This window comes from Homo sapiens, chromosome 8, assembly GCF_000001405.40.
Source record: "Homo sapiens chromosome 8, GRCh38.p14 Primary Assembly".
Classification (NCBI taxonomy): Eukaryota; Metazoa; Chordata; class Mammalia; order Primates; family Hominidae; genus Homo; species Homo sapiens.
Window position 1 is genome coordinate 85,478,720 of NC_000008.11, and position 24,345 is coordinate 85,503,064.

Below are 24,345 nucleotides of genomic sequence, written 5' to 3' on the forward strand. Positions count from 1 at the left end.
TTTTTTTGTCCTATAACATGGAATCTGGAGGAAGGATCATGCTCAGCTCAGGAAGCTAGGGCTGCAGGTCCTCCTCTATCTGAGTCCCTTGACTTGGCCTTGCCAATTGGTGACTTCATCCTCAAGGTGGTTGTAATAGCATTTTGAGCATCACATCTAGATATAACCACTTCTTGAGGAGGAAATGAATACCTCTTCCATTGGCTTCCTAAGAGCAGAGAAGCTCTTTCCTGAAGGCCCCTAGAAAACCTTTCACTTCTCACTGGCTAGAATTGTGTTTCTTGCTCAGTCCCTAGCCCGGGAATGTGATCATCACAGTCAGTTAAGACCTGCAGGTTTACCCCACTGAGGCTTACAGGGAGAGGGCGGATGTCTGTTAATGAGGAAGTATGGGGGGGCGTGGATTTTAGGTAAGCAGTATAAATGGGTCTGCTAATTCTGCTACCTTTATTTTCTATACCCAGGCTCTGTCTCTGTGATGCTAAAACAATGAGTCAAGTTGACTAATGTGACAGTGTAGTTTAATTGGTGCAGTGAGTAGCAGAAATCGGTTATACTGGTTTGATCAAAAGTTTGACCTGTTTACACTTTATGAACAGACTCTCTTTCAGATTGCTGGAATTCTGTTGTAACGAATCAACCCTATATATCCTTAGAATGCTCCCTTGCATTCAGTAACCATAGCTGTGCATGTTATAATGTATGTGCATGGAAGGTGGCTCTACGGGGGTGATTGAGGGACTATTACTGGACAAAAGAGATCAGGTTAAAGGCTGTTGATTCATGGGCTGCTATATTACTGTCCAAACCACCCTTTTGCATTTGGATCACGTCTTGGTTAGAGGGGGGAAAGTAGCACTTTTTGAGAACCTTGAAGAAGTGGGAGACTGTTCAACAGCTGCCTGTATCTCAGTGGTGGCCAGTAAACTGAAACAAGTTTATAAGGGAATAAAAATCAACCAGTGACAAGGGGTTCTAATGTTAAATGCATATATTGGCAAAATGCCAGTAGGGCTATGTAGGGTGGTGAGCACTCACAATTGTTCACTAAAATGCTGTTTTTAAAACAGGAAAGTAGAATGGTTGAGTGCAAATCCATAGCATGAGATAAATTGAGCTTCTTAAGGCAAATCAGCCTAGGCAAATTCATTTCCGTGTTTTTGTGTATTTGGAGATGCCAGCTCGTCACTCAGCCCATGGAGCTTACAGGTCCTGATCACTTGATCTAATTGTATGGATGTGGTAGTTTGTCTTCCCTGGGGCAGAAAACAAAGCTTTAATTTGGAACTAAAATTGTTATTATTTTGCATCTAAAGGTATGAGTTTATAGACTTTTGATGTTAGATTTTTAAATTAGAAGGTCACTGAAAATTTCCCTTAAAAATGACCCCAACGAATTTGTGTATTTTGTATAAATTGGTTTGTTATATTAAAGCATACATACATAATCTATATGTGATTATGTATTCATTAGGAATCAAACTGAATTTTGGCCATTGATGCACAGCACTGAATGTTGTGGAATGTAATTTTTGTTTGTTTTTGTTTCTGTTTTTTGAGGCAGAGCCTTGCTCTGTCGCCTAGGCTGGAGTGCAGTGGCGCAATCTCAGCTCATTGCAATCTCTGCCTCCAGGGTTTAAATGATTCTTGTGCCTTAGCCTCCTGAGTAGCTGAGATTACAGGTGCTCTACCACGCCTGTTTAATTTTTGTGTGTGTGTGTGTGTGTTTTTTTTTTTGTAGAGACAGGGTTTCACCATGTTGGCCAGGCTGGTCTCGAATTGCTGACCTCAAGTGATCCACCCGCCTCATGCCTCAGCCTTACAAAGTGCTGGGATTACAGGCATGAGCCACTGCGCCTGGCCGGGGAATGTATTTAAAGATATAACACAAGTATATAACTGAATACCATTGTGAAACATTAATTATCAATGTTTTATTGTGTCTTTTAGGTGTTGAAATTCCGTAAACTTAACTTCAATGGGGAGGGTGAACCCGAAGAACTGATGGTGGACAACTGGCGCCCAGCTCAGCCACTGAAGAACAGGCAAATCAAAGCTTCCTTCAAATAAGATGGTCCCATAGTCTGTATCCAAATAATGAATCTTCGGGTGTTTCCCTTTAGCTAAGCACAGATCTACCTTGGTGATTTGGACCCTGGTTGCTTTGTGTCTAGTTTTCTAGACCCTTCATCTCTTACTTGATAGACTTACTAATAAAATGTGAAGACTAGACCAATTGTCATGCTTGACACAACTGCTGTGGCTGGTTGGTGCTTTGTTTATGGTAGTAGTTTTTCTGTAACACAGAATATAGGATAAGAAATAAGAATAAAGTACCTTGACTTTGTTCACAGCATGTAGGGTGATGAGCACTCACAATTGTTGACTAAAATGCTGCTTTTAAAACATAGGAAAGTAGAATGGTTGAGTGCAAATCCATAGCACAAGATAAATTGAGCTAGTTAAGGCAAATCAGGTAAAATAGTCATGATTCTATGTAATGTAAACCAGAAAAAATAAATGTTCATGATTTCAAGATGTTATATTAAAGAAAAACTTTAAAAATTATTATATATTTATAGCAAAGTTATCTTAAATATGAATTCTGTTGTAATTTAATGACTTTTGAATTACAGAGATATAAATGAAGTATTATCTGTAAAAATTGTTATAATTAGAGTTGTGATACAGAGTATATTTCCATTCAGACAATATATCATAACTTAATAAATATTGTATTTTAGATATATTCTCTAATAAAATTCAGAATTCTATTCTGGGTTATTTATTTATTTATTTTTATTATACTTTAAGTTTTAGGGTACATGTGCACAACGTGCAGATTTGTTACATATGTATACATGTGCCATGTTGGTGTGCTGCACCCATTAACTAGTCATTTAGCATTAGGTATATCTCCTAATGCTATCCCTCCCCACTCCCCCAACCCCACGACAGGCCCCAGTGTGTGATGTTCCCCTTCCTGTGTCCATGTGTTCTCATTGTTCAATTCCCACCTATGAGTGAGAACATGTGGTGTTTGGTTTTTTGTCCTTGTGATAGTTTGCTGAGAATAATGGTTCCCAGTTTCATCCGTGTCCCTACAAAGGACATGAACTCATCCTTTTTTATGGCTGCATAGTATTTCATGGTGTATATGTGCCACATTTTCTTAATCCAGTCTATCATTGTTGGACATTTGGGTTGGTTCCAAGTCTTTGCTATTGTGAATAGTGCTGCAATAAACATAGGTGTGCATGTGTCTTTATAGCAGCATGATTTATAATCCTTTGGGTATATACCCAGTAATGGGATGGCTGGGTCAAATGGTATTTCTAGTTCTAGATCCCTGAGGAATCGCCACACTGACTTCCACAATGATTGAACTAGTTTACAGTCTGACCAACAGTGTAAAAGTGTTCCTATTTCTTCACATCCTCTCCAGCACCTGTTGTTTCCTGACTTTTTAATGATTGCCATTCTAACTGGTGTGAGATGGTATCTCATTGTGGTTTTGATTTGCATTTCTCTGATGGCCAGTGATGGTGAGCATTTTTTCATGTGTCTTTTGGCTGCATATATGTCTTCTTTTGAGAAGTGTCTGTTCATATCCTTTGCCCACTTTTTGATAGGGTTGTTTGTTTTTTTCTTGAAATTTGTCTGAGTTCATTGTAGATTCTGGATATTAGCCCTTTGTCAGATGAGTAGGTTGCAAAAATTTTCTCCCATTTTGTAGGTTGCCTGTTCACTCTGATGGTAGTTTCTTTTGCTGTGCAGAAGCTCTTTAGTTTAATTAGATCCCATTTGTCAATTTTGGCTTTTGTTGCCATTGCTTTTGGTGTTTTAGACATGAAGTCCTTGCCCATGCCTATGTCTTGAATGGTATTGCCTAGGTTTTCTTCTACGGTTTTTATGGTTTTAGGCCTAACATTTAAGTCTTTAATCCATCTTGAATTAATTTTTGTAAAAGATGTAAGGAAGGGATCCAGTTTCAGCTTTCTACATATGGCTAGTCAGTTTTCCCAGCACCATTTATGAAATAGGGAATCCTTTCCCCATTTCTTGTTTTTGTCAGGTTTGTCAAAATATTCTGGGTTATTTTATTGTGTACTGAGTGGTGGGTAATACAGTAATGGAGGAACAAATGTCTACTTTTACAATTCACAATAATTCCTTATTAATAATGAGCCATCTTAATTGGCTTACTGATAATTGAAAAAGTCTCCAGAAAAGGAAAAACTCTGGAAGTCATTTACTTATTATGCCAAGTACGGTTTTAAGTGCTGTCTGAGCATTCATGTGATCTTCCTGACAATCCTATGAAGATTAATCCTGCAAGAGAAATGATTACATTAAAAGTAGCAAGGTAGAGAAGGGGGAAGAGTGTGCACACTGAATCAATATAAGCCCCTTGGGAAAAAAATAAATAAAAGTTCATTTTATTCAAAAAGGGAATTCTAGTGATATCCAGAAGTGAAAGAATAATTTGAATTTTAAAAAGAGAAATTAAGCTGAGCATGGTGGCTCACTACTGTATTCCCAGTACTTTGGGAGGCTGAGGCAGGATGATTGCCTTAGGCTGGGAGTTTGAGACCAGCCTAGGCAACATAGCGAGGCTTCATCTCTACAAAAAATGTAAAAATTATTTGAGTGTGGTGTTGCATACCTATAGTCATAGCTATTTGGATGTCTCGGGCAGAAGGATCACATAAGCCCAGGCATTCAAGGCTGTAGTAAGCTATGATTGCATCACTGTACTCCAGTCTTGGTGATAGAGTGAGACCCTGTCTCTAAACAAACAAACAAACAAATAAAAGATGAATTATACAACTATTACAGATAGGAAAGAGTGAATAAACGAAATAAAAATCTCTTACTATTATGCTTTTCTGGATTTAGCTCTGTGCCTTGACCATGGAGTCTTTGGCTGATGAGTTATTCTGGAAAACCAAATAGAACACATAACTCAGGTTCTACATGTCAGGGAATAAAAAGTCCTTGTTGCTTTAGATAGAAAATTTCCTAAACTCACCTTAGATCTTTACCTAACCCAAGCTTACAAAGATTTTATTCTGTGTTTTCTAGCAGATCACAGGTCTAAGAGCCAATTTGAGTTAACTTTTGTATATGGTGTGAGGTAAGGATTTAAGTTCAGTTTTTTGGCCTGAGGATCCAACTTTCCCAGCACCATTTGTAGAAAAGACTATCCTTTCCCCACTGAATTGTTTTGGTACCTTTGCAGATCAAGTAACCAAAACAACTTACATTCCCAACTGTTTTCCTAAAGAATTGTGCTTAGTTTGATTATTCGTTTTGAATCCCAGCTCTTCTCAACCTCTCTGGTCCTGGGTATATGTAGAGAGTGAGACCCAGGATTGTTGCTCTTATTTTTTTCTTTGAGGTAGGATCTCACTCTGTGGCCCAGGCTGGACTACAATAGCACAATGGCTTGATCTCAGCTTGCTGCAACCTCTTCCTCCAGGGCTGAAGTGATCCTCCTACCTCAGCCTCCCTGGTACCTGAGACCACAGGTGTGCAGCACTACACCTGGCTATTTTTTTGTATTTTTAGTAGAGACAGGGTCTCACTATGTTGCCCAGGCTGGATCATTGCACTTTATTTGCTACAGCTTATCTCATCTTCCTTGGGACCACCCTCGTCTCCAGTCCCCACTCAGTGGTGGCAGGGTGGCTGGCAATTAAAACCTGTCAGTAAAGGGCATTTCAGTCTGTTCAGGTTTCAGCAGTTTTTTTTTTAGGTTTTCATTCCCCACTCATACCAGCCCACACAGATGGTGTCTGGGTGACAGAGGAGAGGGCCCAGGATCTGTATAATTCCCCCTAGATCCTTGCTAGCCTCTGTTGTGGGGTGTCCTAGGCTAGCCCTGGCTCCATCTGTGTCTGCTGGTGTTCTGTCTGTTCCACCTGGTCTTTGGAGGTACTAATAACTGAAGGCTTATCCCCACCATTGCCTCTAGTTGCAAAGTCTAGTGCTCTTTATTTATGACCCTGGGGAGGGGTCCAGGTGAATCTTGTTTCCAGAAAGAAACAGTAAAAGGGAAGCCTCTGTCACACAGGAAGAATCACACAGAGGCAACCTATCTTCTGAAGAAGAACCAGTTTCCTTGCTTTTCCTCATCACCCAGATTGCACCCTTAAAGAATGAGGGCAAAAAGGACACTGGTACCTGACATCTTTGCTTAATTCTTCTCTCTCCTTCTTCACACAGGGTCAGAAAAGGTTAGTTTGTCCTTGTGTAATTCTTCCCTGGGTGGAGGCATATTCTCTTGTACCCTGTTTCTTTCTGAAAGCAGCATTCACCTGGCGCCTTCCCCAGAGTCATAATAGCAGACAAAATGCACAGAAAGAAAATTGGTTTTACAACAGGAGAAGGGCCATCAGAAAATATTTCAAAATTAAGACCCATGTTACACTTAGCAATATGCTGCTGCCAAAGACTCAGTGAGATTTCTTTAGCCCACTTGGTAAAATCTAGAAGTTCAACTTCTATTTCTCCTTTCTCCATCTCCTCTCCGCCCCTGACCTCTGCTTCTACTATAAGTAATCTATAGTGCTTCCATATGTTTAACAAAGGTAGCATCATTACTTTTATTTTATTTTTTTAATTTTTAATTTTTAATTTCAATAGATTTTTGGGGAACAGGTCGTGACATGAATAAGTTCTTTAGTGGTGATTTCTGAGATTTTGGTGCATCCATCACCTGAGCAGTGTACACTGTACCCAACGTTTAGTATTTTATCCCTCACCACTGACCTGCCCTTTTCCCTGAGTCTACGAAGTCCAGTGTATCATTCTTATGCCTTTGTGTCCTCATAGCTTAGCTCCCACATATGAGTGAGAACATATGATGTTTGGTTTTCCATTTCTGAGTTACTTCACTTAGAATGATAGTCTCCAATTCCATCCAGTTTGCTGCAAATGCCATTATTTCATTCTTTTTTTGGCTGAGTAGTATTCCATGGTATGTGTGTCACAGAGGTATGTATGCATATATATATATATATATATATATATATAGCTTTATTTGCTACAGCTCATATATATATACACCCATACATACCTCTGTGACACACATACCGTGTAATACTACATATATATATATACCCATACGTACCTCTGTGACACACATACCCATACATACCTTTGTGACACACATACCATGGAATATATATATATCACATTTTCTTTATCCAGTTGTTGATTGATGGGCATTTGGGCTGGTTTCATATTTTTGCAATTGCAAATTGTGCTGCTATAAACATGCATGTGCAAATATCTTTTTCATATAATGACTTTTCTCTGGGTAGATAATTAGTAGTGTGATTGCAAGATCAAATGGTAGATCTACTTTTAGTTCTTTAAGGAATCTCCACAGTTTTCCATAGTAATTGTACTACTTTACATTCCCACCGACAGTATAAAAGTGTCCTCTTTACACTGCATCCATGCCAACATCTATTATTTTTTGATCTTTTGATTATGGCCATTCTTGCAGGAGTGAGATGGTATTACACTGTGGTTTTGATTTGTATTCCCTGATAATTAGTGATGCTGAGCATTTTTCCATATGCTTACTGGCCATTTGTAATTCCTCTTTTAAGAATTGTCTATTCATGTCCTTAGCCCACTTTTTGATGGGATTATTTGCTTTTTTCTTGTTGATTTGTTTGAGTTCTTTGTAGATTCTGGATATTAGTCCTTTGTCAGATGTATAGATTCTGAAGATTTTCTCCCACTCTGTGGGTTGTCTGTTAACTCTGCTGATTATTTCTTTTGCTGTGCAAAAGCTTTTTAGTTTAATTGAGTCCTAACTATTTATCTTTTGTTTTTGTTGCATTTGCTTTTGGGTTCTTTGTCATGAAGTCTTTGCCTAAGCCAATGTCTAGCAGGGTTTTTCATGTTATCTTCTAGAATCTTTATGGTTTCAGGTATTAGATTAGGTATTTGATCCATCTTGAGTTGATTTTTTATAGGGTGAGAGATGAGGTTCCCATTTCATTCTTTTACATGTGGCTTGCCAATTATCCCAGCACCATTTGTTGAATAGGGTGTCCTTTCCCTACTTTATATTTTTGTTTGCTTTGTCAAAGATCAGTTGGCTGTAAGTATTTGGCTTTATTTCTAGGTTCTCTATCCAGTTCCATTGGTCTATGGGCCTATTTTTATATCAGTACCAAGCTATTTTGGCTACTATGGCCTTATAGCATAGTCTGAAGTCAGGTAATGTGATGCCTCCAGATTTATTCTTTTTGCTTAGTCTTGCTTCGGCTATGTGGGCTCTTTTTTGGTTCCATATGTATTTTAGGTCTTTTTTTTTTCTAGTTTTGTGAAGAGTGATGGTGGTATTTTGATGGGAATTGCATTGAATTTGTAGATTGCTTTTGGCAGTATGGTCATTTTCACACTATTGATTCTACCCATCCATGAGCATGGGCTGTATTTCCATTTGTTTGCATTATCTATGATTTCTTTCAGCAGTGTTTTGTAGTTTTCTTTGTAGAGGTCTTTCATGTCCTTGGTTAGGTATATTCCTAAGTTTTTTTTTTATTTGTTTGTTTATTAGCTATTGTGAAGAGGTTGAGATATCTCAATTTGATTCTCAGCTTGGTTGCTGTTGGTGTATAGCAGAGTTACTGATTTGTGTATATTAATCTTGCATCCTGAAACTTTCCTGAATTCTTTTATCAGTTCTAGTGGCTTTTTGGAGGTGTCTTTAGGGATTTTTAGGTATACGATCATATCATCAGCAAACAGTGACAGTTTGACTTCCCCTTCACCGATTAGGATGCCCTTTATTTCTTTCTCTTGTCTGATTGCTCTGGCGAGGACTTCCAGTACCAAGTTTAACAGAAGTGGTGAAAGTGGGCATCCTTGTCTTGTTCCAGTTCTCAGGTGGAAAGCTTTCAACTTTTCCTCATTCAGTATAATGTTGGCTGTGGGTGTATCGTAGATGGTTTTTATTACCTAAAGGTATGTCCCTTCTATTCTGATGTTGCTGAGGGTTTTAATAATAAAGCAATGCTGGATTTTGTCAAATGCTTTTTCTGCATCTATTGAGATGATCATGTGATTTTTGTTTTTAATTCCGTTTATGTGGTGTATCACATTTATTGACTTATGTATGTTAAGCCATCCTTGCATCTCTGCTATGAAACCCACTTGATCATGGTGGATTATCTTTTTGATATGCTGTTGGATTTGGCTTGTTAGTATTCTGTGGAGGATTTTTGCATCTATGTTCATCTGGGATATTGGTCTGTAGTTTTCTTTTTTTGTTATGTCCTTCCCTGGTTTTGATATTAGGATGATACTTGCTTCATAGAATGATTTAAGGAGGATTCCCTCTTTCTCTTCTTTTGGAATAGTGTCAATAGGATTGGTACCAATTCTTCTATGAATGTCTGGTAGAATTCAGCTGTAAATCCATCTGGTCCTGGATTTTTTTTGTTGGCAATTTTTTTATTACCATTACAATCTTGCTGCTTGTTATTGGTCTGGTCAAAGTTTGCATTTCTTCCTGGTTTAATCTAGGAGCGTTGTTTATCCACCTCCTCTAGGTTTTCTAGTTTATGCATGCAAAGTTGTTCATAGTAGCCTTGAATAATAATCTTTTGTATTTCTTTGGTATCAGTTGTAATATCTGTCATTTTGTTTGTAATTGAGCTTATTTGGATTTGCTCTCTTCTTTTCTTAGTTAATCTCACTAATGGTCTATCAATTTTATTTATCATTTCAAAGAACCAGCTTTTTGTTTCATCTGTGTTTTGTGTTATTTTATTTTGTTTGTTTGTTTGTTTCAATTTCATTTTGTTCTGCTCTGATCTTGGTTATTTCTTTTCTCTGCTGGGTTTGGGTTTGGATTTTTTCTCCAGTTCCATGAGGTGTGACTTTAGATTGTCTGTTTGTGCTCTTTCAGACTTTTTGATGTGGACATTTAATGCTATGAACTTTCCTTTTAGCACTGCTTTGGCTGCATCCCAGAGATTTTGATAGGTTGTGTCACTATTATCATTGAGTTCAAAGAATTTTTTAGTTTCTTGATTTCATTGTTGACCGAATGATCATTCAGGAGCAGGTTATTTAATTTCCATGTATTTGCGTGGTTTTGATGGTTCTTTTTGGAGTTGATTTCCATTGTTATTCCACTGTGGTCTGAGAGAGTACTTGATAGAATTTCAATTTTCTCAAATTTACTGAGACTTGTTTTGTGGCCTATCGATATGGTCTGTCTTGCAGAATGTTCCATGTGCTGATGGATAGAATGTATATTCGGCAGTTGCTGGGTAGAATGTTCTTTAAATATCTGTTAAGTCCATTTTGTATAGGATATAATTTAAGTCCACCATTTCTTTGTTGACTTTCTATCTTGATGATCTATCTAGTGCTGTCGGTGGAGTCCCCCAGTATTATTGTATTGCCATCTAACTCATTCCTTAGGTCTAGTAGTAATTGCTTTATAAATTTCGGAGCTCCAGTGTTAGGTGCCTATATATTTAGAATTGTGATGTTTTCCTGTTGGACTAGTCCTTTTATCATTATATTATGTCCTTCTTTGTCTTTTTTATCTCTGTTGCTTTAAAGTTTGTTTTATCTGATATAAGAATAGCTACTCCTGCTTGCTTTTGGTATTCATTTACATGGAATATCTTTTTCCACCCCTTTACCTTAAGTTTATGTGACTCCTTATGTGTTAGGTAAGTCTCCTGAAGACAGGAGAAACTTGGTTGGTGATTTCTCATCCATTCTACCATTCCGTATCTTTTAAGTGGAGCATTTAGGACATTTACATTCAATGTTAGCATTGAGTTGTGAGGTACTATTCTAGTCATCATGCTATTTGTTGCCCTCATTGGTTTTTTTTCATGGTGTTATTGATATATAGGTCTTGTGTGATTTATGCTTTAAGGAGATTCTATTTTTGTGTATTTTTAAGGATTTGTTTCATGACTTAGAGCTCCTTTTAGCAGTTCTTGTAGTGCTGGCTTGGTAGTGGCAAATTCTGTCAGCATTTGTTTGTCTGGAAAAGACTGTATCTTTCCTTCATTAATGAAGATTAGTTTTGCTGGATACAAAATTCTTGACTGATAATTGTTTTGTTTAAGGAGGCTAAAGATAGCACCCAATCCCTTCTAGTTTGTAGGGTTTCTGCTGAGAGATCTGCTGTTAATCTGAAAGGTTTTCTGTTAGGCCTCTAAGCCCAAGCTAGGCCATCATATCCCCAGTGACCTACACATATACATCTAGATGGCCTGAAGCAACTGAAGATCCACAAAAGAAGTGAAAATAGCCTTAACTGATGACATTCCACCATTGTGATTTATTTCTGCCCCAACCTAACTGATCAGTGTACTTTGTAATCTCCCCCACCCTTAAGAAAGTTCTTTGTAATTCTCCCCACCCTTGAGAATGTACTTTGTGAGATCCATCCCCGGCCTTCAAAACATTGCTCCTAACTCCACCATCTATCCCAAAACCTATGAGAACTAACGATAATCCACCACCATTTGCTGACTCCTTTTTCGGACTCAGCCCGCCTGCACCCAGGTGAAATAAACAGTCATGTTGCTCACGCAAAGCCTGTTTGGTGGTCTCTTCACATGGACACGTGAGACATTTTCCTTTATAGGTTACCTGATGCTTTTATCTCACAGCTCTTAAGTTTCCTTCCTTTGTCTTGACTTTAGGTAACCTGATGATTATGAGCCTAGGTGATGATCTTTTTGTGATACATTTCCCAGGTGTTCTTTGAGCTTCTTGTATTTGGATGTCTAGATCTCTAGCAAGGCTGGGGAAGGTTTCCTTAATTTTTCCCTCAAATATGTTTTCCAAACTTTTAGATTTCTCTTCTTCCTGGGGAACACCAATTATTCTTAGTTTTGGATGTTTAACATAGTCTCAAACTTCTTGGAGGCTTTGTTCATTAAAAAAATTTTTGTCTTTGATGGACTGGGTTTATTGGAAAGCCTTGTCTTCAAGCTCTGGCATTCTTTCTTCTGCTTGTTCGATTCTATTGCTGAGACTTTTCAGTGCATTTTGCATTTCTCTAAGTGTGTCCTTGATTTCCAGAAGTTGTGACTGTTTTTCAATTATGCTATCTATTTCACTGAAGAATTTTCTTTTCATATCCTGTATCATGTTTTTGATTTCTTTAAGTTGGACTTCACCTTTCTCTGGTGTTCTTGATTAACTTAGTAATCAACCTTCTGAATTCTTTTTCTGGCAATTTGGAGATTTTGTCTCGATTTGGATCTGCTATGATATTTTGGGGGTGTTAAAAGTCCTTGTTTTGTTCTTTTGTTCTATTACCAGAATTGTTTTTCTGGTTCCTTCTCATTTGGGTAGACTATATCAGAGGGAAGATCTGGGATTCAAGGGCTGCCGTTCAGATTCGTTTGTCTCATGGGGTGCTTCCTTGATGTGGTGTTCTCCCTGTTTCCCTAGGAATGGGGCTTCTTATGAGCCGAACTGCAGTGATTGTTTTTGCTCTTCTGGGTCTAGCCACCCAGCAGAGCTACCTGGTTCTGGGCTGGCACTGAGGAGTGTCTGCAAAGAGCCCTGTGATGTGATCTGTCTTCAGGTCTTGCAGCCATGGATACCAGCACCTGTTCCAGTGGAGGTAGCAGGGGAGTGCAGAGGACTCTGCGAGGGTCCCTGGTTGTGTTTTTGTTTAGTGTACTGGTTTTGTGTTGGTTGGCCTTCAGCCAAAAGGTGGCACTTTCAAGAGTGCATCAGCTGCAATCCTATAGGGATGCTGCAAACTCGCCCTGGGGACATGTGGTTAAGTATTCAGGCTTCTTAGGCAATGGGCAGGGCCGTAGCATTCCCAAGAGATTATGACCTTTGTCTTCAGTTAACAGGGTGGGTACAGAAAGACCACCAGGTGGGGGCAGGGATAGGCATGTCTGAGCACAGACTTTTCTTGGGTGGGGCTTGCTGTGGTGGCTATGGGAAATGGGGGTGTGGTTCCCAGGCCAATGGAGTTATATTCCCAGAAGGATTATGGCTGCCACTGCTGAGTCATACAATTCACCAGGCAAAATGGGGGAGAGCTGTCAGTCAAAGGTCTCACTCCACTCCCACACAGACCACAGTCCTAAAGGCCAGTCTCACCCCCACCGTGACCCCCCAGCAGCACCGAGTCTATTTCCAGGCAGCCAGTGACCAGGGCTGAGAACTTGCCCCAGACCACAGGCCTCCCTGTTGAGAAAGAAAGCAGACTCATAGTTTTTCGGCATCTCAGGGAGCCTGCAGCAGTGATCCAGTTCCTTCAGAGGGTCTGTGGATTCTCTCAGCTTTCCTGGCATGTTCCCGTGGTAGCTCTTGGAGCAAAAGTTCATGATGTTAAGGAAGGAGACCACTACTACTCCTGCTGTCCTCCTCCCCCTACCTTGCCTAGTTCACAAGACAGGAGGAGAGAAAAAGCAAAAAGTTGGAAAAAAACAAAAGTAAGATAAATAGCCAGACAACCTGGGCGCCACCACCTGGCCCTAGGAGTTAAAAAAAGTAATAATAATAACATCAACCCCTGACCTAAACTGCTTGTGTTATCTGTAAATTCCAGACACTGTATGAAAAAAGCATTGTGAAACTTTTTTTCTGTTAGCTGTTGCATGTAGCCCCCAGTCACGTTTCCCACGCTTGCTTGATGTATCGCGACCATTTTGCGTGGACCCCTTAAAGTTGTAAGCCTTTAAAAAGGCCAAGGATTTCTTTTTTGGGGAGCTGAGCTCTTAAGACGCGAGTCTGCTGACGCTCCTGGCTGAATAAAAACCTCTTCCTTCTTTAATCTGGTGTCTGAGGAGTTTTGTCTGCGGCTCATCCTGCTACAGTGTGAGTCTCCACACCCTGCTCTGTCCTGAGCAGGAGCTGCAAGCTAGTCCTGCCTCCTATCCACCAACTTAATCCAAAAAATACATTATTACTTTTCATCTGGTATCTTTAACAATTTGTTTTATGGAATGAAACAAAAAAGAACTCTGAAGGCTCTGATACTGAAAGGTTCATGTTCCACAAATAGAACAGTGCACAATTTCCTTGTGTAGGAAACAGAGATGGGGCAGAGATGGTCCCTCTGTGGGACTTGTGGGAGAATCTCAACTGTTGGCTTGCGACTGGACGCAGCACCCCTGATGGAGTTACATTCTGTAGAACAGCATGGCCCCCCACCACCAAGGATCTGTTTTTCAAGTAGAGATGCCCAGAAAGAGGTTGAGGAACAGAAGGAGTCCTCAGCTAACAGGAGCCTGCAGGTGCAAGTGGAGAGAGTGAGTCCAGCACAGTCCTGGGCACCCTGCATACTCCAAACCAGGACCCAGACATTGAAGATTTCTCCCACATACCTTTGGTCTTTGGAAGAAAGATTGTCCCTGATGTTTTTAGAGAAGTATTTTCACCTTCTCTTAGAAGAATGATTCTGACATGTTTGGCAGAGGGCAACCTGCCCTCCCAGAAGGGGTCCATCTACTGCTCAGTCACTGGACTGTCATTTATTTCCTCTTTTCACTCCACCTGTGTTTCTACTTTCTGAAGAATTCAAGTCTGCATGCTTGGAAAGTTCTGGCAGGTACAGTGATGCCTTTCAGCCTATAGAAATGTGCACGGGGGATGGGCGCGGTGCCTCAAGCCTATAATCCCAGCACTTTGGGAGGCCAAGGCAGGCGCATCACCTGAAGTCAGGAGTTTGAGACCAGCCTGGCCAACATGGCGAAACCCCATCTCTACTACAAATACAAAAAGACTAGCTGGACGTGGTGGCACGTGCCTGTAATCCCAGCTACTCAGGAGGCTGAGGCAGAAGAATCACTTGAACCAGAGAATCGGAGGTTGCAGTGAGCCGAGATAGCGCCACTGCACTCCAGGCTGGCGACAGAGTGAGATAAAGGCTGGCAATATGTGTGTTTATGATATGTAAGATATTTTATACATGGCTACCTTGATGAGCCACCTGGTTCCTTCAGGAGCCAATGTTGAAGCAGGATTTACTGATTCATCTCTTCCAACATCACCTTCTAACCATATAGCCCCCAAAATAGAAAATGTAAGTATTACAGAACAATGTAGACTACAGTTGCCATGAAAAAGGAATGAGGTTTTATATCACACAGTGTGCAGCGTTTCATGGCCCAAATCCCCATTCATCATCCTCTCTCCTTCCCCTTCAAGGACTTGGAATCTCCCCTGGCTGCAGTTCCCTGTCCCTGGAGCCTCCCTTGGGGCTCATTTTCTTCTCTATTTCTAACACAGAGCAATTTAGTTACACCTTCTCTTCCTCCTCGCTCCCAATAAACATTTACACACTCTCATACGTACACCGAGAAACTCAAGCACATGTGAATGCACACACACACGTGCACATACACATAGCTGTCTCTTGTTACTTTACCACACTTAAGCACGCTAAAGGCTAGCAGAGGTAATTTCTTCCAGTTTCAAGGTCTCTCCATAAAGGTGGCAGGAGAATTACAAATATTTATTTTTCTTGTCAGCAATCATTTTTGTATTATCTGTCATATTCTCAACAAAATAAATGTTATTCCTTTTTTTTTTTTTTTTTTTTTTGAGATGGAGTTTCGCTCTTGTTGCCCAGGCTGGAGTGCAATGGCACAATCTCGGCTCACTGCAACCTCAGCCTCCTGGGTTCAAGCGATTCTCCTGCCTCAGCCTCCCTAGTAGTTGGGATTACAGGCACGTGCCACCATGCCCAGCTATTTTTTTTGTATTTGTAGTAGAGACAGGGTTTTGCCATGTTGGCCAGGCTGGTCTCGAACTCCTGACTTCAGCTGATCCGCCCGCCTCAGCCTCCCAAAGTGCTGGGATTATAGGCGTGAGCCCCTGCACCCATCTGACATTATTCCCGTTTTACAAACGGAGACTTGGGGGCTCAAAGAGGATAGGAAATATGCCCAAATCCCACAAGAAATGAGGCAAAAAGGAGATGCAAGCCCAAGCTTTAGTGTTCACTTCCTCTCTACAGCACCACGTGAAGGATGACACTTGATGGCCCAGGGCCTGTTCTTTAACTGTATCAAACCATCCCCCCATCCCCACCCTTTCAATTAACTACTGGTTTTGGTGGCCAAACTATAAGGATTAAGGCTCATCAGGCAGGGCCAGCCAGCCCTGTAAGGGGAATTTGAGAAAGTGAATTGGGCCAGACTTTGTCCAGCACCTGGCTCAGAGCAGAGGTTCAGCTGGACTTCAATAGCACTGCTGCATGAATAGATAAATTTGTTTTAAATTCAAGTGTAATGAGAAGTTGGAGATGGATGTTGGTGATGGTTGTACAACAATGTGAATGTACTTAATACCACCAAACTGTAAGTTTAAAAATGGTTAAAATGGTAAATTGTTTATTAAATATATTTTATCACAAATTTTGTAAAAGTTAAATGTGCATGGGGGGACTGGAGTCATATAAAGCCATATAAAGTAATTTACTTTATATTATCACCTATTTTATTATTCATTTGTTCCCTGCCATTTGAAAGTAGTCATATTTTGCACAAAACAAACTGATATATACAAATCTAACTTAAAAAGATGGATAAGACCTTAAATAAGATGTAGCATCGAGATGACCTGGATTTAATGGTGACAAATGTTGTGGTTGACCACAGTGAGTTCTGGGTCAGATTGTCTAGGTGTAATGCCTGGCTTTTTGTCTCTTAGCTGTACGAATTGGGGCCAGTTATTTAATCTCTTTAAACCTCTTTTTTTCTCATCTGTAAATGAGGATTATAATACTACCTAACACATAAGATTTTTGTGAACTAATCCAGGTAAGAGACAAACTGTCATGCTTTGAAAGCACTCAAAAAATCCCAACTATGATTAGTAAGGCTCCGAAAGTGACTAAAAATGAAGGGCCTTCAGTATCAGTCTAACTCAAACCAGGCTCCTGCTTGTAAACAGCTATGAGTGACTTGATGTGTCATCTTTCCTCTCTTTTACCTAGGTATAGAAGACTCTCTATGCTGCCCTCTTGAATAATGCCCCAAGAATGCATGCCTTTCCTGATCATTCTGTGAAATATTGCTGAGTAAAGGAACGAGTGAATTGTAGATGGATAAATATCTAGTATGTTCTCCATTTATTTCAAAGTGTAGAAAGCTTTTATGTAATCAGAAAATAAAATCCAATTGCTTCCTATTGCATTGCCTTCCCAAATACATTACAGATTATATTTTAAAAATTTGTATGAATCAAGTAAGCCACACTTGATTTCCCCCAGTGGAACCTGTAGAACTATTCCACTGCTCCTGGGCAAGGTGGTATTGGATACAAACTCCATATTGCCAGGATTCCCTCTCCCCCTTCTCTCACTTTTGCTTTAATTTCTATTTTTTGAAAGGGAGATGATTAATCTATTTCAGACTGGCATTTTAACTTGTTTTACTTACTGACCACTGTGGTGAAACGAACCGAGAGCAGTTTCTCAGCTTATCTTAGTCTAATGTAATATGAAAAGACAAATATCATATTTGAGGAAAAATATTTCATATGCAGCATTATTATTAATCAGGGATAATAGGTAAGATATCAGAAACTGATTAAATGAGAATTTTTTTAGTAAAAGAAGGAAGTTAGAGTGGGAAATGTAGTCTTTAGAATCCGACTGAGAGGCCTGTATTTTAACTATGTGACCTTGAATGTGTTACTTAATGAATCAGTGACTCAGACCTGCTCCTTCATGTATAAAATGAAGAGAGTGATACATTTCAGAGAGTCAATGTGAGAAGTAAATGGAATTATGCACAAAGAGCACCAGTGTAGTCTGGCTCATAGTAAGTGCTCAATAAATGGTTATTCTTATAAATATACTCAAAATAAGATATATTTTCCAATCAAACAACAGTCTTACTTAAGGATCACATCAGCCTCTTTCTGGCTGACTCAGGTACAGTAAGATGTGAGGTCAGCCAGACCGCTGACAATTAAACACTGGCTTAGCTATCACTTTCCTGGGCTCCAGTTTCCTCATCCATTCAATGGAAATGATAAAGGTACCTATTTCTTAAGGGTTGTTTTGAGGATTTAAAAAAGATAATTTAGGTAAAACTTAAACCAGTAAATGCTATCTGAGGTTATTAAAAGTTCATTGAATCAACCATGCAGAAATTCACTTCACGATGTGGCAATTGGGGTTTTTTTCCAGGCTTCTGGAAATGTGTAACCAAATAAGTGAATATATGGCTGCCTCCAACAACCATGTTGAATTTTTCTTTTACTTCAGAACAAACTTTGGTCATGCTGCAAGCCTAGTGGAAAGCCTGATTCTTCTGGGTATTGGTCAAGGAACACCCACCCCAGAATGGAAGTCATTTAGCAGGTAATGGTCCCTGTGGAATGACAGTCCTTAGAATGAGTTTGTGAAGACACAAGTATCTGATACCTTCCTTGGTAGACAGTGCTGTCAGGGGCTGATAGGCTCCACCATTTATTTTTTCAGCTGATCCTGTAGAGTTCAAAAAGCACTTTTCTTGGGACACTCCCAAGCATTTTCATAGCCTTTTCTACTGTGCTAGTAGCAAGCAATTCAATGTCTTGCTTAGTTTTCATTTACCTACCTCTCAGGTAAATTCACTGAGTAACTACAAAATGGTGGCTATAGCCATGAGAACATAATATATGTTTTCTAAAAATGCCATTGTCCTTGAAATCATTAATTTTATATTTGTATAGAAGACAAGAAATTGACTTTACATGTAGACTAGTGAGATTGCTATATCTAAATTTGCATACAAATCAGAAAACATTTACATTGAGTTTTACATTTTTGATGCTCTGATCCTACCTGATAGACTCACAAGAAAGTCTGATCTGCGAAAGATTCTTTCTCTCCAGAGATTTCTTCAGATCTGAGAGGTATATACATCTCTTCAAGAAACATTCATTGGGCATAATTCACTATTATTGCCTGCTGATAAAGTAGGAAGTCACAGACATTTCTTGTGGGCAAATTCCACAGGTGATGGTCCCCTGAAATGTCTCTGATTCTGTCTCCTCCCATCACTCCTGCTACCAGTGAGGGAAAGGGAGATCTGCCATTGTCCTGGGGCTGGGGATCCACTCACATCTCTGGTAGCACTGTCACCATTGCCAGGGCTTCTAGCTGAGCCTTATAGTCTCATGGCCTTAGTGCATACCTCCTTCAACTCACACAAGTTGTGATGCTCTTGAGAGGTGAGCACAATTCACAATTGCAAAAATGTGGAACCATCCCAAATGCCCATCAATCAACGAGTGGATAAAGAAATTGAGGTGTGTGTGTGCGTGTGTGTGTGTGTGTATATGATAAATATATATATGATAAATACATATATATGATAAAATACTACTCATCCATACAAAGGAATGAATTAATGGCATTTGCAGCAACCTGGATGGGAAAGGAGATTATTATTCTAAGTGAAGTATCTCAGGAATAGAAAACCAAACATATGGTTTTCACTCATAAGTGGGAGCTAAGCTATAAGAACACAAAGGCATACAAATGACACAATAGACTTTAGGGACTCAGGGGGAAAGGGTGGGAAGAGGGTGAGGAATAAAGACTACAAATCAGGTTCAGTGTATACTGTTCTGGTGATGGGTGCACAGAAATCTCACAGATCACCACTAAAGAACTTACTCATGTAACTAAATACCACCTGTTTCTCAAAAACCTACAGAAATAAAAAAAATTGTTTTAAAGACACAAGAAATTAAAAAAAAAAAGAAAAAGAGGTGAGTAGAATCCCTTCTTGTCTCTCTCTATATTATCTATATTATAATGTATTGGCTTAGAACTGTCTGTGCTTCTAAATGCTGGCATGCACAATTCTTTCACACACACACACACACACGCATGCACACACACACGTCATTGTCTCTCGAGTGCTCCCACAGCGCAGGCCCCATTTGGCCTTCACACTGAGGACAGCTTGGGGTCCAGGCATCATCTTCCCTATTGGTGCTTTCCCTTTTATGATGCAATCTGGTTTCAATCACATATCACCCCAGTTTATGCATTTTTACAGGGTTGAATCTCAGTGAGGTCAGTGTTCTTGTATCTTTTTCAAAGGCAGGTAGATTTTCAGCTCTTATATACACTAATTCATTCTAACAGATACTTGGGCTATTGTCTAACTCTGCTCCTCCTCAGCATATAAGCTTAACCTTCTTATGGATTCACTGAGTGAGAGGGGATTCCTATATCCACTTACCAACTGTGGTTGACCATGTATTAGTTTGCTAGAGTGTCTGTAACAATGTACCACAAACTGAGTGGCTTAAACAATAGTTTATTGTCTTGCAACTCTGGACCCTGGGACCAAGATGAAGGTGTTGGCCAGACCTGTGAAGGTACTAGAGAAGGCTCTGTCCCAGACTTGTCTCCTAGTTTCTGGCAGTTACTTGATTTGTGGCAGCATACCACCAATTTCCACAGGGCATGCTCCCTGTGTATCTATGTCCAAATATCCTCTTTTTATAGACACCAGTCATATTGGATTATACCATGGAATGCCCACTCTACTCCATTACTTAAGATGAGCTCATCTTAACTAATTCCATCGGCAATGAATAGGACTCCAACCTTATATTATTTTGAGGGGGAGAGACACAATTCAACCCTTAACACCATTCAAAATATCTTTCCGCACAAAAATTTGTGTTACATGACAAAGGGAAACTTTATTCTTCACTAATTGCTAAACGTGTCTTAATTGGGCCTACACTTTATTTCATTGTTGCTTCCTGTTAAAAAACTTCATAAAATATATATGGCATGTTTTAATTACTGTGACAGATTCAATATAAATTTTAAAAGGAGAAAGAAAGCACATTTTAATGTACCATGTGTTTATATTATATGTAAATCTTTCACGATTGGCGAAAATTTTTACAGAATATTTGTGGAGGTCCCAAGTTAGAAATATTAAACACTTTATCAAGCTGCACTCATGTCCCTGATGTCTTCAAATGTATGTTGTTACAAACCTCATTTTTCAGGAAGCAATGTGCGTCTCGTTCATGTCCTGTGTTTCACCTGTATGTTTGTTATCCATATAAAGTTATAGTTATAAGACTTGTTATTTTACAATGAGAGCAAAGTTACTTCTTTTTTTTTTTTTTTTTTTTGAGAGGAGTTTCACTCCTGTCACCCAGGCTGGAGTGCAGTGGCGCCATCTTTGCTCACTGCAACCTCCACCTTCCGGGTTCAAGCAACTCTCCTATCTCTGCCTCCCAAGTAGCTGGGATTACAGGTGCCTGCCACCACACCCAGCTAATTTTTGTATTTTTAGTAGAGATGAGGTTTCACCATGTTAGCCAAGCTGGTCTCAAACTCCTGACCTCAGGTGATTCACCCACCTCGGTCTCCCAAAGTGCTGGGATTACAGGCGTGTACCACAGTGCCTGGCTGCAAAGCTATTTCTATACATGTCAGAACATGACATTGTTATCAGTGCATCAAATTTCTTTAATCTTTAGTAAAATAAAGCTGTCACAGTCTTGTTAGGTGACAAAAGTACTTTTTGTATAAAGTAAGCATGAATTGGGTTTTGTGTCAACTCATTGATTCTATAAGGAGAAACAATTCACTTTCAAGCTTTTTTCTTCAGTAACTAATACTCTGGCACATCTGGAGTTCAAATACTATGTTTTTTTTTTAAAGAATTCTGAAGCAACACTTCATATAATTTTCCATTGTTCTTCAAAGACTGGAAAAAAATGAGTTAGACTTGTATTGAAAAGGCTTTGGGCAGAGAGTTAGGCAAACTCCTTGCTGTTGATGCAAATTAAATCAGATCATTAGGTTAGAGATCATATAAACTAATGCTGTGGTGTTCCATGTTGAGCAGGTCTATGCAAACCAACCCCAAAATTCAAGGAAGCTGAGAGGCCAAAGGAGGAGTGACAGATCAGTTTCTTAGAAAGAAATAGTTAATAGGAACTTATGATCAGAAGCTGTGTCTGGTCGGTATCTCGGGAGGTGGTGGGACAAGATGTTGGAAACTCATGCTATTACCCCACCAACCCAGGGCTTACATACCACAGGGAAAGGATAATTCCAAAAGGATGTGTAGGACATCTGAAGTATGATAACTGAAGTATATTAGGTTGTTTGACCTAAAGGTAAGATTTACAGTAAATACCTTTGCGCGAGAAGCAATGGATAAACTGGAAATCTTAGAGGCCCTCCAGGAACAGAGGTTGATCAGAAGCCAACACGGCAGATTAGCATCCAAGGTGGAGTTGCATTAGCCTCCGCAATTGGTCATAATCACCTTGCCAGGCCCCATTCCAGCTAAAGTTGTTTCTCAATAATTTCAGGAAAGCAGTGGTCTGCTATTCTCTGAGCACCATTGACCACTTATTGGATTGTGGAAGAGACCTAACTCAAATTTGGACCAAGAAGTGACTTGAAATCAAGATCTCTCCCCAGAAGAGACAACAATGAATAGGTGAGCCTATCAGGTAGTCTTCCTTTACAAACAGCCTGAAGGCTACAAAGAGGATTGTGTAACAAAGAACGGAAAACAACACAGCACAGGGAGCCTTCAAGACAAAAACCCCAAAACTCAGAGGGGAGGATGAAGAAGCTAGTCCTCAGAGCTGTCTGGGTCTCTCTGACAGCTCTTTGTTTCCGTCTGGTCTGTTTATGTAAATTCTTAACCTCCCATCTCTTAAGGTGGCCTGACTTATTATGTCCTTTAAATAATCCAAAGTGTCTACATATGCGTAATCAGAGACCACATTTTTCCATGCATATTTACCGAGATCCTTCCTCCCATCGCCACTACCCATTAGGTGCTGGGCTCTGTGCTGGAGATTTCCAGTATTCCGGGAGTACACAGAAGAAATTTTTTAATTAATTTTTTAAAAATCTATACAAGAGACCACTTAAATATGTCTCTTCTATTAGCAAAACTGTACTCAGTCTCTATTTCTGTGTTCCAGAAAGATTTTGTGAATGAATTACAAGCCCATTTTGAGCCAGGGGTGCAAGGATTTCTTCCCTTATGTGACATGTTCCCACAAACAGCACATGACAAGCAATTACATCTAAGGATGAATGGAACATTGTTGAGTACCATTCTAAGAATTCCAGCCATTATTTTTCTTTTTCAAAATAAACTTGAAATAACATAATATGTCACAGATGATTGACAAAGTTTTTGCTAGTGTATGATGGTATTATATTTAATTGCTAGAACTAGAATTTAGTTAGACCATGCACTGGCTCTTTAATTCACCTATGTGGTTTTAGGGAATTCACCTCCCTGAGCCTCAATTTTACCATATTGAAAAATGTAGATAGTAACTTTAAAAGTTCTTTTGTGAGGACTGAAAAGGATAATGCATTTTTAAGTACTTAGCATAGTGCTGGGGCACATGACTAATCAATAACTGTTGGTTAATTTCCTTTGCTCCCTCCCTCCTTCCCTTCCTCCTTTCAATTTTTGTTATCAATAAAGCCACATGCAGTCTGAAAGTCTCCTTTTAAGTTTTACATCAAGAATCACATCCCCAAACCTAGATACCATATATTTTATTATTCTGAGTCAGTCCCACTTCATGTGATGTTCACTTCCTGTGTCACGTATAACTGGCAGACCTTAAATACAAACTGAAGAGCAATCATTTTCTTGGTCATACATAAGCTTTCAGACAAAGTATGATGAAATCATTTTTAGCTCTACTCTTTCTACAGTAAAGTATTGCATGCAGTTGGGAAGTGGGAATTATTTCTCTTTTGGAAATTGGAAGCCAATAGTGTACAATATACACTTAATTCTTCCTGTGATAGACATGGATCTCTTCAGTGATACAATCTGCGCCACACTCTGGCATTCTTTGGGCCCCTCCCAGCTATCTAGTATTTCCAGACTTCTTATCTAGGAATTGGCAGCATCTCAACATCAGGCAACTGTCTCAATGACTATAGTAATATCGTTTTCTAAAAATTAAAGAAACAGTTAAGTAATTACTTTTAGAAAGTGCTCTTTAGATACAAATCAAAACAGTATATTTGGTTAAGAGCTTGTCAGAACATTTTTGTTTCCAAGTAAAGATCTGAAGGCTTGCTCTCTGTGCACACCTGGACAAGTTATGTCAACCAATTCACCTATAAATCCATGTCATTGTTCACAGCAAATCTCCTCGAAAGTGTAGTTCATAATTGCTGTCTCAACTTCCCCATTCTCTTCTTTCCCTGGTTCACTTCAATCAGCATTTTGTCTCCACTAGACCATTGAAATAGCACTAATTTAAGATCACAAAGACCTACACACAAAAATCACAAAGATCTAAATGAAGCAAACTCTCCCTTCTGTGTCCTAA

General features: G+C 39.5%; 1 protein-coding gene and 1 long non-coding RNA gene across 3 annotated transcripts in view; both read left to right on the forward strand.

The window, feature by feature from the left end:
* CA2 (carbonic anhydrase 2) overlaps positions 1–2,774 on the forward strand; it is a 17,487-nt gene extending 14,713 nt beyond the window's left edge. For both annotated transcript variants that reach the window (NM_000067.3, NM_001293675.2), the window contains one exon: positions 1,951–2,774. In NM_000067.3, coding sequence (NP_000058.1) covers positions 1,951–2,070 — 120 coding nt within the window. In that variant the 3' untranslated portion in view covers positions 2,071–2,774. The remainder of the gene's footprint in view (positions 1–1,950) is intronic.
* The window catches only part of LOC105375937 (uncharacterized), a 39,068-nt gene continuing 31,696 nt past the window's right edge, over positions 16,974–24,345 (forward strand). The window contains exons 1-3 of the long non-coding RNA XR_929129.4: positions 16,974–17,097; positions 18,254–18,349; positions 22,336–22,466. This is a non-coding gene — a long non-coding RNA (uncharacterized LOC105375937). The remainder of the gene's footprint in view (positions 17,098–18,253; positions 18,350–22,335; positions 22,467–24,345) is intronic.